This window comes from Homo sapiens, chromosome 2 (assembly GCF_000001405.40).
Source record: "Homo sapiens chromosome 2, GRCh38.p14 Primary Assembly".
In the NCBI taxonomy this organism is placed as follows: Eukaryota; Metazoa; Chordata; class Mammalia; order Primates; family Hominidae; genus Homo; species Homo sapiens.
Genome location: NC_000002.12, coordinates 45,546,523 through 45,563,450, shown reverse-complemented (window position 1 = coordinate 45,563,450; position 16,928 = coordinate 45,546,523). Strand labels below are relative to the sequence as shown.

The following is a 16,928-nucleotide window of genomic DNA, read 5'->3' as shown; positions in this document are numbered from 1 at the left end:
TTTTCTTCTGCTTGTTTTGGTTTTGTTTATACTTTAAGGAGTGTTTTTAATGTGTTTTAAGACAGTCGTTCTTTTAATATTTTAATTAAGAGCATGGACAGATTGATCTGAAGTTTAAATTCTTTTTTTGCTACTTGCTAGCTTTGTGATTTGCAACAAGTTAGTTTCAGAAAAATTATTATATAAAGTGAAGATAATACACACATTACTGGTGACTCTAAGGATTACTTGAGATAATATATTTAAAGTGCTTAGATAGGCTCTACAATTAGTAATGCTCAATGGATGGTAACAATTTGTAGCTACTAAATATTGCACCTAGGATTTTACATGTTTGTATTTATCTTAGCACAGGTTATCTTTTCAAATTATAAAAAGTATACCCTTCCAACTCCAGATAATCAAAAATTTTCAATTAGTAGAATCTGAAATGAGATTTTTAGATCATCAAAGTCTCTTCTTGTAAATGTGTTAGATAGGCTTTGTATCTGCATTTTATTTTCTAAGAGCATGTTAGGGTTTTCCTTATGTGGGAGGTATGTTACTTGAAAAAAGTGTAAGTAAATGATTATTTTAAAATGTATTCTTGTTTAATAAACGAGTAAAAAATTCATATAGCTGTCAGCTACATAGTCGCCTGATTTGTTTCATATATTTTGTGGATTATTAGTCTTTGCCTTATGTTTGCACTCAGATTCTGGCAATTAACCGTGGAGAAAATTTGAAGGTACTGACGGTTAAGGTCAATATTTCTGATGGAGTGAAGGATGAATTCTGTAGGTGGTGCATCCAAAACAGGTCTGTTTACAGATATTTACAGAATTTTCTTTGTTTCTTTTCTAAAATATGATACCGATATCTATATGTACTGATATGTAAAGATGTCTATTACGTGAACATTTTTAAAAAGCCAGTGACAGGCCGGGCGCGGTGGCTCACGCCTGTAATCCCAGCACTTTCGGAGGCTGAGGGGGGTGGATCGCGAGGTCAGGAGTTCAATATGAGCCTGGCCAAGATGGTGAAACCCTGTCTCTACTGAAAATACAAAAACAAAAAATTAGCTGGGCATGGTGGTGCACACCTGTAATCCCCGCTACTTAGGAGGCTGAGGCAGAGAATTGCTTGAACCCAAGAGGCTGAGGTTGCAGTGAGCCGAGATCACACCACTGCACTCCAGCCTGGGCGACAGAGCAAGACTCCATCTCAAGAAAACAAACAAACAAACAAAAAACCCACCAATAACAGACAAGGTATGTAGTGTCCTTTTTGAATTAAAAAAAATAATAAAATAAGTATGTGTGTCATGCATATTTAAACAGAGAATATCCAGGAGGGTGTGTGAGGAATTTTTGATAGTGATTATCTCTGTGGAGAAGAACTGTTTTACTTCATTACTTTTCTGTACTATTTGAAACTTTTGTAAGATCATCTTTTCCCTTGCAAAAATAAACTAACAAAAATATGCTCTATGTATCATATCTGAAGTGTTTAGCTCTTTAAGGATGATGGAAACAAAAATTAACTTATTGGATATTACAATATAAATAAGCATTCTGTATGTGGGGATAAATGTTGCATGTTAAGGATGATTGAAAGAAACATTAAATTTATTAGATATTTTAAGGAAATGTCTAAGCTTATGTAATTTTTTATTACCCTTTTTATTTGTTAAGGGAGCCTTTTAAAATAGCACCATGTTTGTATAATACTTTTTACTTTTAGTTTTAATTTTTCAGAGTGTAATTGATCCTCACAAAAATCTATTTAGTTGGTAGAGCAGATTTTGTAGCCACCACTTAGCCAGTGAGAAAACTGATACAAAGAGGTAAGTAAAGTGGCTTCCTAGCAGCTAGGAGATGTAAATTTTGATAAAGTTCATCACCAGCTAGTTCTGTGTAACTTTAGGATAAAGAGATTGCTAGGAATGATACTTAAAAAGTTAGATGACTTGTTCTTTGAAAATAAGTATCATGGATTTTGGAAATCAGTTATCTCATTCAACACAACTGTTTTGTTAATTCATTAAAAGCAATGAAGGATCAACTTGCTTAACAACCAAATACTACTAACTAAGCAACCATTAAGTAAAACAACAGTCTAAATGTTAATCAATAGGTAAATTGCTTAAGCCAATTATGTTATATCCATATGGTGGAATTCTGTGCAGCCATTTTGAAAAAGTGGAAATAGAGCTGAAGTTGAAATATGAACATGTCTTACTAAGTTAAAAAGACAATTTACAATTAGCATTTATTTATAGTATGATTTCACTAGTGGCAAATAAGTGTCTTTATATTACTGTGTATATTTTTCTATATAGTTTCTTTTCTTTTTCTTTTTTTGAGAGACAGGGTCTCACTCTGTTGCCTAGGCTGGAGCACACAGGTGCTATCATAGCTCACTACAGCCTCAATCTCCCAGACTCCAGTGATTCTCCCACTTTAGTCTCCTGTGTAGCTGGGACCATAGGTGCATACCGCTGGCTAAACTTTTTTTTTTTTTTTTATTTAAGAGATGAGGTCTTGCCATGTTGCCCAGGCTGGTCTTGAACTCCTGGGCTCAAGCGGTCCTTCTATCTGAGCCTCCCAAAATGCTGGCGTGACAGGCGTGACCCACCATGCCTGGCTAGTTGTCATTTTTTATGAATGCTTATTTCCTTTATAAATAAGCAAATAAATTCCAATGAAAGGAAAGAGGAAATGTATGCCTAAAAGAAATGCTAGATTTAAAAAATTAGGAAATTAGATAATTTAAGATATGACAAAACTCTAAGATAGTTTCATAGAGGAAACTCCTAAGAAGTAGATATATTTGAGTTTGAATTCCAGTTATATTACTTTCTACCTCTGCACCTATGGGCATGCTACTTAATTTCTTTCTCAGTTTTGTCTATCCTTAAAATGGTAATACTTTACTTGTAGATTTGAGAGAATTAAATGATAATCTACGTAACTGTATAGCACAATGTCTGGTGAAGAACAGGCCTTTGATGGTATCTGTTATTACAAAGTAGTGGGATTATTGTGCTAATTCTTTTTAGAAATGTTTTAGTAAATCACAAAGACAATTTCTGGCTTATTTTTCTGTAAATATTCATAATACTCAGTATCAGAGTCAGTCCTCAGTAGTTAAAGAAAAAATATGCTTTTAACCTATTTATTATCTTTAGACTAAGTAAATGTCAAGGAATTTTTTTACAGTGATTTATTTTTCCATGGCTTATTTATATTTTATTTAGTTCTCCAATTGAAAAATTTGTAATATTATTTAGCCTACAATGTAACATGTTACATCATTATGGCATAGTAATATAATTTTCAGTCAGGTTTGGAAGTTTTTCTTTTTCTTTTTTTTCTTTTCTTTTTTGAGACAGGGTCTCACTCTGTCTGTCACTCATGCTGGAGTGCAGTGGCATGATCTTGGCTCACTGCAGCCTTGACTTCCCAGTTTCAAGCTGTCCTCTCACCTGAGCCTCCTGAGTAGCTGGGACTACAGGTGCGCACCACCACACCCAGCTAAATTTTTCTTTCTTGTAGAGACAGGGGTTTTGCCATATTTCCCAGGCTGTTCTCAAACTCCTGAACTCAAGTGATCCACCAACTTCCGCCTCCCAAAGTACTGGGATGAACCACCCCAGGCATGAACCACCATGCCCGGCCTGAAACTTTTTCTTCATTTAGATAATTCCAAGAGCTGAAACACTTTTCTAGGACCTAAAAAATTATTCTCAAAAGAACTTTTTTTTTTCCTTTAAGCACATGTGAATGACTAGAAATGCTTACTTGATGAATCTTCTAGTTCCTTTTTTTACTCTCTTTTTCCCTATTTCTTCACCCTCTTCTGTATGTACTTATCCATTCAAGTTATGTGCTAGATTTTGGAGATTCCCCTGTAAATTAGACAGATATACTGCTTATCCATGATGACAGCGTAGTTTAATGAGAACAACACTGGGAAAATCATTACGAGTATGTTGAGATTATGAAGGAAAAGTGTAGTAAGAAGAAGAAAAGTGCTTGTAACAGAGCCCTGAGTAGTGTGGACTTGACAGCTAGGTAGGTTGGAGATAGAAGGAGAAGGAAGAGAAGTGACATGGAATGAAGATTGAGATGTTGACACAGGTTAGATCATACATAGCTTTCAGGTATGCTAAAGATTTTTTTCTTTTAAGGATGGTGGGAAGCCAATAAGGATTTTAAATACAGGAGTGTGATGATCAGATTGCATTTTAAGATCACTCAGGCCACAGTGTAGATAATTATTTGGAAGGAATCAAGAGTAGATATGGCACAAGAGATTATGGTAGCTTAGACTAGGGTGGTAGCAATAGGGAATAAGTAGATAGATTTGGGCAATATTTAGGAGGTAGACAGGGGCAGGACAAGGTATCTGATTAAATGGTGGGTGGATTGGTTAGGGAGAGGTGAAGTGAAGCATGAAATTTGTGTGGCGGCTGGGCGTGGTGGCTCACGCCTGTAATCCCAGCACTTTGGGAGACCAAGGTGAGAGGATCACCTGAGATCAGGAGTTCAAGACTTTGAGACCAACCTGACCAACATGGCGAAACCCTGTCTCTACACAAAATACAAAAATTAACCAGGCATGGTGGTGCATGCGTGTAACCCCAGCTACTTGGGAGGCTGAGGCAGGAGAATTGCTTGAACCCAGGAGGTGGAGGTTGCAGTGAGCCGAGATTGCGCCATTGCACTCCAGCCTGGGTGACAAGAGTGAAACTCCATCTCAAAAAAAAAAAAAAAAAAAAAAATAATTGTGTGGCTTGAACAATAAGGTAGATGATATAGTTACTATCACACTATAAATATATTAAGAACTATGTAATAGGGCAAATAGTGATTTAAATGGCAGTCTTGTCATTACATAAGTTAATTAGCATAACAAGGAATAATTTAAAGCTAATGTATTAGTATTAAAACTAATATTTAGGTCCAGATTCAGCAAATGAACAATTCCTCATTTGGAATTGTATGTTACTAGTACAAGATAAGTATGAAGAGGATTTCTAAGCTTTTTAGATGCTGAAATAGTTGCTGTGTTTGTGAGAACCTCAGTAATTTAAGTTTCTGCATTTGCTCTCTAAATAAAAACGTATCTAAGGAAATTTTTTTTAAAAAATTAAGAAAACTTCTTTTTAGAGACATTATCTCACTATGTTGCTCAGGCTGGTCTCAAACTCCTGGATTTAAACAATCCTTCTGCCTCAGCCTTCAAATTAGCTGGGACTGCAGGCATGCACCACCACACCTGGCTTCAGAACTTGTCTTTTGAGTTTGCAGATTTTTGTGTCTTTGACTTGATAAGTTAATTTTTATTCTCCCTAAAATTGTGCTGCTGTTTTTCATGTAGTAGGTTTAAGGGAAACTGTCTCTACTTTAAATGTGGAAAAAAGAAAGCCCAGTGGAGAGAGCCTGTCTTTATCTTATATATATGAAGTTGGGAGAGCATATTTCTTTGCCAAAGTGGAGAATATTTCTTTGGAGGAGTTTGTGATCCCTCACCTCAGTTTTGTGCTTCATTGTATGCAACATACATAGCATGTGTTTTGCAATGTATATTTGGTTTAAGTGAGTCCTCCTTAGTTTTATTCAGATGTATTTAACTGTTGAATTAGAGGAAGAATCAAGTTTTGAGATGACTTCCTGTAAGGCAAACCCATCATATTTTCTTTAAGTTTAAAGATTTAAGCAACAGGGTTTGTGAATTTACTATACTATTTCAGGTTCCTTAGTATGCTAAGTGCCTTCAATAAATCCCAGGAAGCCGGTGAAGGGCAGGAATTGTTTTGGTGTAAGGAGCAAAAAGGAGTTTCTATAATGTAGGAAATGAATGTAGCTGTTCTCTTTCAGGGCTGGGTCTAGTGGTCTAAAGTTCAACTGAATGGGCATGATTGAGGCATCCTCAAGTATTAAATAGACCCATAGCTCTCTGTTCCAGGAAGGGGAGGAGAGCAGTCCAAGCCAAGGGAGGATCTTGAGACTTGAAGAAGACTACTGGGGGTTTGAGAGGGTATGGGTAGGTGATATTTAAGATTTCTGGCTTTTTCCTGCAAGCAGTGGCTTAAAGGGCAACACCTTAGGAGACAAATCAGATACATACATTAAAACAAATCCCTCTGTTAGGGTCTTCCTACCTCTAAGGACTATCTGTCTAGCATACTGTTGCATGATTCAGGACTATGTTCTCTCTCCTACCTCGTCAGGCTCCATAGCTTTGTGTATAAGACCCTTTATGATCCAGCCACTGCCACATTTTCTACCCTCATCTTTCCTCCTGTTGATCTTGCCACTTTATTTCCTAGAAGCGCTAACCTTATAGTTACTTCAATTTACCGTGCTTTTTCATGCCTCTAAGCTTTTACATATGCTATAATTTCTTCCCAGAATGCCCTTATTCTTTTGTCTTGCTTGGCAAACTACAATTCATTAAAAAAACCTATCTCAGATGTTTCTTTTGGGAAGTCTTTCTTGACATTGGATTCCCCATATTAATAATAACAGCAGCAGCAGCAGCAGCAAAAACTTACATAGAATGTATTAGGCACCATTATAAGTCCCTTGCTTATGTTAACTCACAACAATTCAATGAAGTAGACTATTATTACTCCCATTTTACTGATGAAGAAATAGTAGCACAGATATACTTAAGTAAATCCACCATGAACATAGAGCAAGGCCAGACATGGTGGGTCACGCCTATAATCCCAGCACTTTGGGAGGCCAAAGCAGGTAGATCACTTGAGGTCAGCAGTTCGAGACTGGCCTGCACAAAGTGGTGAAAACCTGTCTCTGCTAAAAATACAAAAATTAGCTGGGCGGGATGGCGCACGTCTGTAGTCCCAGCTACTCGGGAGGCTGAGGCAGGAGAATGGCTTGAACCTGGGAGGTGGAGGTTGCAATGAGCCAAGATTGTGCCTCTGCACTCCAGCCTGGGTGACAGAATGAGATGAGACTCTGTCTCAAAAAAAAAAAAAAAAAAAAAAAAAAAGTAATAGAGCATAGAGCAGAACAGATCATACTTTTAACTAGTATATTATACTGCTGTTTGCTGTCACTTCTGCTTTTGAGCTCTTCATATCTTTAACATTTATTTCTGTTTTTACATTTATTGTGCCATACATTTGTTTAGATATTTGTTTCATTGAAAAAAGGTGTGTTTGTTGAATTCATGCCTTTTTTCAATGGAGTAGAGAAATCCTACTCCTCTGTATCCCTAATTCCTTCAGGCAAATGTTACAGTAGGGAGCAGCAGGGATTTAGGTGGAAGGAAGGATGTATATCCTGCCTAAAAGCACTTCCACTAAAATTTAAAAACTGTATGACACTTTCTATGGAAGAGATTCAGTTAGTTGCTATTATGTAATCTTTGGAATAAAACATTGTAAGTGCTTAAATGTTTGTTCAGTGAAATGTAGTTCATTTCCTAGCCTAAGATAAGTAAAGGGGATGAGAGTACCCTTAAGGTAATATTAATTAATATTTTGTTAATGGTTTTCATTCAAGAGGGCAAGGGCAGAGATGCTGTAGATGGATGAAAACACAGAATGGATAGTATCATAGGACCAACAGGTTTATATGCCCACTGTGCCGTAACAGACTAATACACCAAGACAGCAGGGTTTGTAGCAGAGAAAAGAGTTTAATGGGCCTGGCGAGGTAGCTCACGCCTGCAATCCCAGCACTTTGGGAGGCTGACATGGGCAGATCACGAGGTCAGGAGATCGAGACCATCCTGGCTAATACAGTGAAACCCCATCTCTACTAAAAATACAAAAACAAAAAATTAGCCGGGTATGGTGGCGCCTGTAGTCCCAGCTACTCAGGAGGCTGAGGCAGGAGAATGGCATGAACCCAGGAGGTGGAGGTTGCAGTGGGCCGGGATCGCGCCACTGCACTCCAGCCTGGGCGACAGAGCAGGACTCCGTCTCAAAAAAAAAAAAAAAAAAAAGGGTTTAATGATTGCAGGGCACTGAGTGAAGAGATGGGAGGAGGCCTTGAAATCCATTTTTCCAAAAAATTCTGGGCTGGGTTTTTTTTGTTTGTTTTGTTTTTGTTTTTAAGAAAGGGTCTCTGTTGCTTAGCTGTAGTGCAGTGGTGCATCATGGCTTACTACAGCTTCAACCTCCTGGGCTCAAGTGATCCTCCTGCTTCAGCCTTCTAAGTAGCAGGGACTACAGGCACACACCAACACATCCAGCTAAATTTTTATTTTTTGTAGAGACAAGGTCTGGCTATGTTGCCCAGACTAGTCTTGAACTCCAAGTGATCCTCCCACTTTGGCCTCTGGAAGGCCATACTCTGGGATTACAGATGTGAGTTACTGTGCCCAGCCTGGGCTAGGATTTTTAAGGGGATCGTGGAGGGAAAGGAGCTGGAAATTTGTGGTCTTTGATTGGTTGGGGTAAGGGGGATAAAATCATCAGCATATGGAAACTGTACTGTTTGGTGAGTCAGCTTCTTGGTGGGAGTCTTTCATAGTAGCTGATGTCAGTAGTTTCATTGGTACACAGGACCTGAAAGAGTATTCAAATGGAAAACTTAACATTTCATAATGTTCAGGTTGTTACCTATAGAGCAGTTAAGGGGAGCTATAATCTAGTAACAGGGTCTGTGTGATTCTAGGACAGTAGGCACCAAACAACTATGAGGAAGCAGGTCAGAGAGTGAGCTGACCTCATGATTAATGCTGAATGTGCTGCCAGCTTGGTTTATTTTCATTTCTAGCCCTCCTTTCTTTCCTGATTAATTTTATAAGGTTTATAGGGACCGTTTCAGTGAGGCTACATTTGTCCTTTTAGCTTGTGATTTTCTCTTCTATTCTTTCCCCAGTGTTCATTAACAATTGGTTCTGTGGCATTTATAGTCCTCATTACATATGCAGATGTTGCCTGGTAGAGCATTGTGGCCTGAGCAATAGAGTAAGTTCTCAGAAATGGCAAGAGGCAAGGGTTGAAACAGAGTTTCTGCTTTGCTCAGTCTACTTTAACTCTCAGAAAGAGATAAAGAAAGGGGGAAAAAAGGATACAGTGGCTGTCTTAACTTGGACTAACATAACAAAATACCACAGACTATGTGGCTTCAACCGGAGTAATTTATTTTCTCATAGTTCTGGAGGCTGAGAAGTCCAAGATCAAAATGCCAGCTGATTCATTTTCTGGTGAGGGCTGCCCTCCTTGGCTTGTAGACAGCTGCATTCTTGCTGTGTCCTCACATGGTTGAGAAAGAGAGAGAAAGAGCAAGCCCTCTGTTATCTCTTCTTATCAGGGCACTGATTCCATCCTGAGAGCCCCACCCTTATGACTTCATCTAAACCTGATTATCCCCCAAAAGCCCCATCTTCAAGGTATGGATATGGGGAGGGACACAATTCAGTCTGTAGCAGTGGTGTAATAATTTTTTGGTGACTTTCTTGTATCTTAAGATTTTGGCCATTATTAATAATGCTTTGGAGACCCTTTACTGAAGAGGAAATTTTTTCCTTGTTTTATATCTGACCATAGATAGTTACTAGGATTTTTAAAATAAAAACTCCAGATGTCATAGTAATAATTTTCAGATACCACAGCCTTTCCTCACAGATTATGTTACTTTGGCTTCAATAAAGGTTTTCCCCGCTTCTGTATTCCATCTCCCTTCTTTTTGGGAGCCTTTTTATGGCCTTATTTATTGTTGCATCAGTTTTAGTGTGGGCTTTTCTGTTTTGCAGGTGGAGACCACGTAGCTTTGCAAGGCCAGAGTTAATGAAGATCTTATATAATTCACTGAATGATTCCTTTAAACGCCTTATTTATCCTCTTCTCTGTAGAGAATTCAGGTATATATCTTGTCTTGTTTAATTTTGTGTACTGATTATTGTTATATGATACTAGTACCATTACAGTGTGTAGCTAATGTTTGTTGATTGATTAACCAATCGAAAGAATTTAGTCAGCATCACAAAGTGTTAAAGTTAAGGCTTGATTTCAATCTGTAGATGCATTCACATGCATAGATCATAAAAATAGTTCTTAATTATGATATGTTTTTCAAATCTTGACCACTTAATGTGTACCCCTTGAAATCCTGCAATACTAGTCTTGCAGCTGGAGGCAGTTTTTAGAGGTAAGAGAGCCAAAGAAAGCATAAGGAAATCAGTAGGGTACATGATGAATCAATTACTTTGTTTTTAACTCCAAATGGGAGTTATTTGGATGAAAAATTATCAGCAATGATAAATATTAGGAGATTATTAAAATGGCAATGTGAACGGACTAATAGAAGGACTAAGTAATATAGATGAAAACTGCAAAAGAGGTGAGGTGCAGAATTGTTTTCAGGACAGAAGATGGAAAGAAAAGAAATGTAGGGAGGCAAAACTCCTCTCTCTTGCTTCTCTGTAACCCTTGTTTTTGCACCCAATCTTTAGAAACTAGACATTCCCTAATTCATTCCTTCCAAAATATTATAGATTATCTTCATTCTCATTTCTTTGTAGGTTTCAGCAAGGGCTACTTGAAAACTGTAGTTTTGTAGCCATCTCTTCAACCTCTCTAGAATTTTTAGCAGCCTATGTAGGGCTTGTTTCTCTTTTGCTGGACTTGACCATTGAATTAAGATGGGTTCAGAGCAGGGAGTGAGCAGGTACTATTAAAAAAGACACATAGTCCTGTTGTCCAATTTCTTTTTACCAAAGTCATTTAATCTCTTGTTACATCCATTTTAGCCTAGATGTAGCCTAAAAATATTGTTCCTTTTAGAATTGTATTTCACTTCAAGCTGTCTAACATCGCTTGCTTTTGAGAGCTAGGGCATACACTTTAAAAATTAGGAATTTGGTTCTTCCTGAAGGAAAAAATTATGTTATTTAAAATTTCAATTTCTTTTTGTATGTTTTTCTTTTTATTGTTTTCTCATGTTGCTTATGTCTAGTGGCACTTTTGACATTTTTTGCATATATTTTTGATTTGAGTAGCTTCACTGCATGTGGAATAATTTCATCAAGGTTTAATGTAAACAGTTTGATGTGGGATCATTTAATGTATAAACTGTTTCTGAATTCCATTAGCAGTAGATAAGCAAGAGTACTTTCTCTTTCTTTTTCTAAAATGCCCATGGTTAAAATAATATAACTTATTTCAGTTTATAAGTTAGTTTGCAGGTATTATCTACAGATACGCCTCCTGATAGGAATACTTAACCTGAATAGCAGTTAAAGAGGAGGACACTCCCACTTGGTTTGTTTTTTAGACCATTTTATTTTGCAGTCACTTAATTTGGTTGACTGTATACTATGCATAGCCTACGTCTGCATATCTTATTCCCGTGACTGTCATGATCATTCATCCATGTGTCATTTTTCACATCTATCTCTGTCATCAGTTCTACATTGTCAGTTACAAAGTGCTATCTATTTTGCCATCTTTTATTATAACTTGAATTTTTCCTCCCCTTTATCTCCGTGGTGACTGTCTTAATTCAGGACATCATCATTTTTTGTCTGGATTACTGAACTAGCGTCATAGATGATCTTGGTCTTCTGTCTTGTCTTTTCCAATGCATATTACAAATCGCCCTTTCAAAATTCTCATCTCACAATTTCATGCTTGTATACTTCTTTCAGCTGATCTTGTTTGTCTCCAGGATAGAATCCAAGCTCTTGAGAAGAACATGCATGACCCTTTGTGATCTGTTTTTTTCTTGCCTCTACTTCTGTCTCGCTGTTTCTTTTTACTTTAGCATACGAAATTACTTGCTGTTTCTATGATGAGCCATGAGCCTTTACATATGCTGTTTCCATTGTCCGGGATATTTTCTCCCTGCCCACTGTGCCTACTTTTGTTTGCATCCCATGTGACATTCAAATGTGCGTACACTCTCTGTCTTTCTCACATATACACATATTTATAAATATGGGTTTTATATACAGTAGAGAGCAGATAGAGAGGTAATGTAGGTATGATAAACTTACAAGACTTGCTTCAGAATTGCTTGTGGTATCATATTACTGTGATTAGTGAAAATAGACTCAATATAATTTTTGTATATTTTTCTCTTAAGTTATATTGTTATAATAAATTATCCTTTGAGAAATAATTGTACAAAATGAATTCTGCTCCTTTTCTGGAAAGAAAATTTGGGTGAATGAAAAACTTTTTCTTTTCTTCTATTTCTAAAGAGCCAAACTAACATCAGATGCAGAGAAGGAATCAGTAATGATGTTTGGACGGAACCTTCGTCAGCTCCTTTTAACAAGCCCTGTTCCAGGGCGCACCTTAATGGGAGTGGATCCTGGTTATAAACATGGTTGCAAATTAGCTATAATTTCTCCTACTAGTAAGTTGTCTTGCAATTTTCCATGTAAAAGTTGTTTGGTTGGTTATAAGTTTCACTTCATACATTTCATGAGGATTTGGAAATAATGTTAATTTTAAAGGCTTAAAAAGTGGTTTTCTCACATACAGGGGTGTTGGGAACCAGATAATCAAACTTCATTTTTCTCTCATTTGTTGATCAAACTCCTCAATATACAACTATCATTTATATGCTTCCTATATCTCAGTAGAGATATTGAGGATTAATTAGGCTCGGACTTGAACTCTATTAATTCCCCATCAGATTCTATTATTGTGATGCATTTATATATGATGCATTTTAATTCTGCTTATATTTTAAATACCAAAAGACATTTTTATTGTTTTGCTCAATTTTTTTTCCTGTTTACTTACATTTACACTGATATTCTTCATTTCTTTTGCATTTCCGTGCTTCCATTTGAGATCATTTTCTTTCTGCCTGAAGAACTCTATGCTATTACTTTTAATGAGTCACATTGTCTTAGTTTTAGTTTGTCTGAAAACATCTCTGTTTTGCCTTCATTTTTGAAGAATATTTTTTGCTTGGTGTAGAATTCAAGATTGGCAGTTACTTTCAGTACTTTAAAGATGTCATTCTTTTTTTTTTTTTTGGCTACTGTAATTTTTGTTGAGAAGTCAGCCAAACTGTGGTTATTTGTTATTGTTCCTTTGAAGGTAATATGTCCTTTTCCTCTGGCTGCTAAGATTTTCTCTTTGTGTTTCTCAGTTTTCTTATGATGTGCTTCAGTGGGTGTGTATGTATGGGTTTTCTTGTCTTTTCTTTTCTGCATGAATTCCACTTAGGGTTTGTGGAGCTTCTAGCATCTCTTTCTGGAACTCCAATTACATACATATTATACCTTTCAGTTTCTTCTCTCCTTTTTGTTTATTTTCTGTTGATCATCTAAGTTAATTAATCCTCTATCCTGCTATGTCTAATTTGTTACTAAAACCATCTACTGGGTTCAAGTGGTTGGTTTTTCAGTTTTAGAATTTCCATTTGATACTTTGAAAAATAGGGTTATAGCTCCCTATGAACTTCTTTATTTCTAATGTTTTTGATCTTTTAACTTCTTGTTTTATTTTCTATTAGCCTTTACTATTTTAATTTTTTAAGTTTAGATTTTCATTTCTGAAATAATTTTTTCTTTCATCTCGAATTCATTCCCAGTTTATCTCATCTAATTTCTGAGATTTTCTAATTTTGACTTATGTTATTCTTTTATTTATTTAACTTTTACTGAGTCAGGGTCTTGCTCTTTTACCCAGGCTGGAGCACAGTGGCGTGATCTCAGCTCACTGCAGCCTCTGCTTCCTGTGCTCAAACTATCCTCCCACCTCAGCCTCCCGAGTAGCTGGGACCATAGGCACGCACCACCATGCCTGCCTTTTTTTTTTTTTTTTTTTTGTATTTTTAGTAGAGACGGAGTTTCGTCATGTTGCCCAGGCTGGTCTTGAAATCCTGAGCTCAAGCTATGTGCCTGCCTTGGCCTTCCAAAGTGCTGGGATTACCAGCATGAGCCAGAATTAACGTTACTCTTATTTTCTGTAATGTTTTTTTTTAAGAAGCTTGTTCTCATACATTAGGCACATCTTTCTGTAAGGACATTATATTAGTCTTTTAAAAATTTTTTTGCTTAAAAAAATAATCATTCTATATAGAATTTGACTATCATGCATTTCTTTTGTTTAGTTTTACATACGTTAGTTTGAACTTTTAGTAGAAGCTGGGTCAGGCAAGTTGTTCTCACTGTATATCTCTAGAACTTGCTCTTCTGTTTTTTCCAAATCATTAAAAAAAAAAACTCTGTGTGGATTGAGAGATAGTTTATAGTTTCTGGAATCTGCTTCTCTGTTGCTTTCCTTTATTTTATCTGGGCTTTCTTTTTCCTTTGCTGTTGCTATCTTTACTTTGCTCAGTTTGAATGTGATTACCAATTGTTTCTCCTCAGTGTGGAATTTTTGTCTTTAAAGGTATCTTTTACTAGTTAGTTTCAAGAGTTCATAGGGATCAGTGTTTTCCAATCCTTTCAGAAGTACTGGATCCCCTTTGTGCTGAATCTCTCTCAGTTTCAGCTCCTGTTCTCAAACTGACTGTTGAGATTTCCAGGGAAGTAGCCTTTGACATTTTTGGGATTCTCCTGTTCTCAGTTCCATCATATATTCCACTGTTTCTTTCTGCTTCCTTCCATGCAGATGCTGATGCATAGGTGTCTTGTCAGTACATTGTTCCCACCTGCTTTTTTGGAGGGTGGGGGTTTGTGGGGATATTTTATCTATGTTCTAGATATAGTCGTGACTTTTTGTTTTTGTTATCCTAGTTGTCTTTTTATGCTGTTCATTTTACAGCCAGTGGGAAATATATTTTATCAGTGTTTTTTTTTTTTGCATCTGTTCATATATCATGTGGCTTTTGTCCTTTACTATGTTGCTGTGATTAATTATATTACTAGAATTTTTTAAAATGTCAAGTCACACTTTCCTTAGATTAATGGAACTTGGTTATGATACTTTCTTTTGGGTGTGTTGTTAGATCAGTTTTCAGTTATTGTATTGCTTATAGGATAATTGTTCTAAAAATGTCACAAACACATCTATATTCTTAAGCTGTTTTGGTAAGATATTTCTAATTATCTGTTTTCATAATTTAATATAAAGTTGTTTATAATGGTAGATATCTTTTAAACCTGTGTTCAATCTCTAGTTATATCTTCTTTTTATTCCTAATATAATTCCTGTATTTGTATCTTCTATCCTTTCTTTTACTTGATTGGTATTGCTAAAAGTATGTTTTTCTCTTAAGTGATTTGTAACTACACTTTGTTGATCTTTTCTGTTGCATTTTTTTCTGTTAATTTTTGCTTTTAACTTCAACATTTTCTATCTTCTGCTTTCTTTGGGTTATTTTGCTGTTCTTTTCCTAACTTGTAAGTTAGTCTCTTAGCTCAGTTTTATTCTTTAGGTAGTTATCTTCAAATTTTAAAAAATACTTTTAATCAAAATAATTTTAATTATTTTAAATTTAATTGTTATAAATATTTTCAATAAAAAATATTTTTCTTTATAATGCAATATAGAAAAGCTCATAAGTCTTAAATATGCACAAGGTAAATAAAGTCATGTATCTACAACCAGAAAAAAAGAAATAGGATAGTCTCACAACAGTGTCTGACATATACTAACAATTCAGTTAGTGTTTGCTTTTGCTACTATTAATGTTAGATGTTAGTGAAAACCATTTTTCTTTTAGGTATCCTAGCATATTCTCCAATTAATAGTAGTTTTGTGTAGCAAACAGAATCCTGTGAAATTGGAAAGAGCAATACTTCAGAGAGGTTAGGAAGAATCTGATTTAGTGAATATGAATAGTTCAGACTTCATTATAAAAAACAAGCCAGTCTCCTTTTCTGTTACAACTTGCTTAACAAAATCATTCATGTGTTTCACTTTGTAATTTCTTATAAAATGGCTTATTCTTTTCATTTTTTAAAGGTCAGATACTTCATACTGATGTGGTTTACTTGCATTGTGGACAAGGCTTCCGAGAGGCGGAGAAAATAAAGACACTTTTGCTGAATTTCAAGTATGAAAATAAGTAATCTTTTGAATATATCAGTGGCTCAGTCAACCAGAGATACCTTTGAAGCCCCTAATTTGGAGGGAGGGATTAAGGGAGGTGCCTTTGTGAGAGACAATAAACCATATAAAACAGTTCTGGGGCAAATTGCTGGAGAACTCTGCATGTGGAGACTTGAGAAACGCTGCTCCCTTCCTTTGCCACCATTACAAATAAAGGAGGTAATATGGGCAGATGTGAGCAGTTCATTCTTCTGTTCCAATTTTCTCCCTCTCTCCCTGCCTTCTTTCCATCTGAGGAATAGATGTGGTTATAGTTAGAAGTTTCAGAAATTGACAATATATTATATAATTTAATCATAATATCTTTATTACGGCTTAGATGGCTTAGAATGCTCCAGAGTTGACTTATCTCTGATTTTGGTTCCTTCTTGATGGGAAGAAAGCTGACTTTTTTGAGATAGTGTGACAGTAAAATACTTCTCTGCTGCCTCCTATACCAAATGCAGGGCAGTGTCTTTTATTCCATATAAGTCTGTGTTTTCCTTATGCAACAGTGGACAGGTTGCTTGTATATATGAGAGAATAAGAGAATCATATAATAGTATTTGTGCATTCTGTACATTTTCTCCAGCTGATTTCAAAGCATGCCTTGAAATTCAGTTTGTCATTCTGTTTCTGCCTTGAAGCTGCAGCACAGTAGTGATTGGAAATGGAACTGCCTGCAGGGAAACAGAAGCTTACTTTGCTGACCTGATAATGAAGAATTATTTTGCACCACTGGATGTTGTTTACTGGTAAGGCTATTACATATATCTCTTTTCTTGGAGAAGCATGGGAACTTTAAAGTTGCTTTTGTGATGAATCCTCCCTTCTCTTTTTAAGATGTACATCTTCTTTGCCCTCCAGACCACCTCTTGGTGTTCATGAGAACTTTGCAGGATAATGTAAAGTGTCTGACTCTTGGAGAAATTTGAGACAGGAATGATTAGAGCAGGACAGAGTC

General features: G+C 36.1%; 1 protein-coding gene across 8 annotated transcripts in view; it reads left to right on the top strand.

Moving 5' to 3' along the window:
- Positions 1-16,928, top strand: part of SRBD1 (S1 RNA binding domain 1) — a 222,588-nt gene that overhangs the window by 47,817 nt on the left and 157,843 nt on the right. For 7 of the 8 annotated variants that reach the window (NM_018079.5, XM_011532946.3, XM_047444861.1 and 4 more), the window contains 5 exons: positions 695-798; positions 9,721-9,828; positions 12,169-12,326; positions 15,839-15,929; positions 16,612-16,719. In NM_018079.5, coding sequence (NP_060549.4) covers positions 695-798; positions 9,721-9,828; positions 12,169-12,326; positions 15,839-15,929; positions 16,612-16,719 — 569 coding nt within the window. The remainder of the gene's footprint in view (positions 1-694; positions 799-9,720; positions 9,829-12,168; positions 12,327-15,838; positions 15,930-16,611; positions 16,720-16,928) is intronic. The other variant, XM_047444862.1, reaches the window with a different exon arrangement.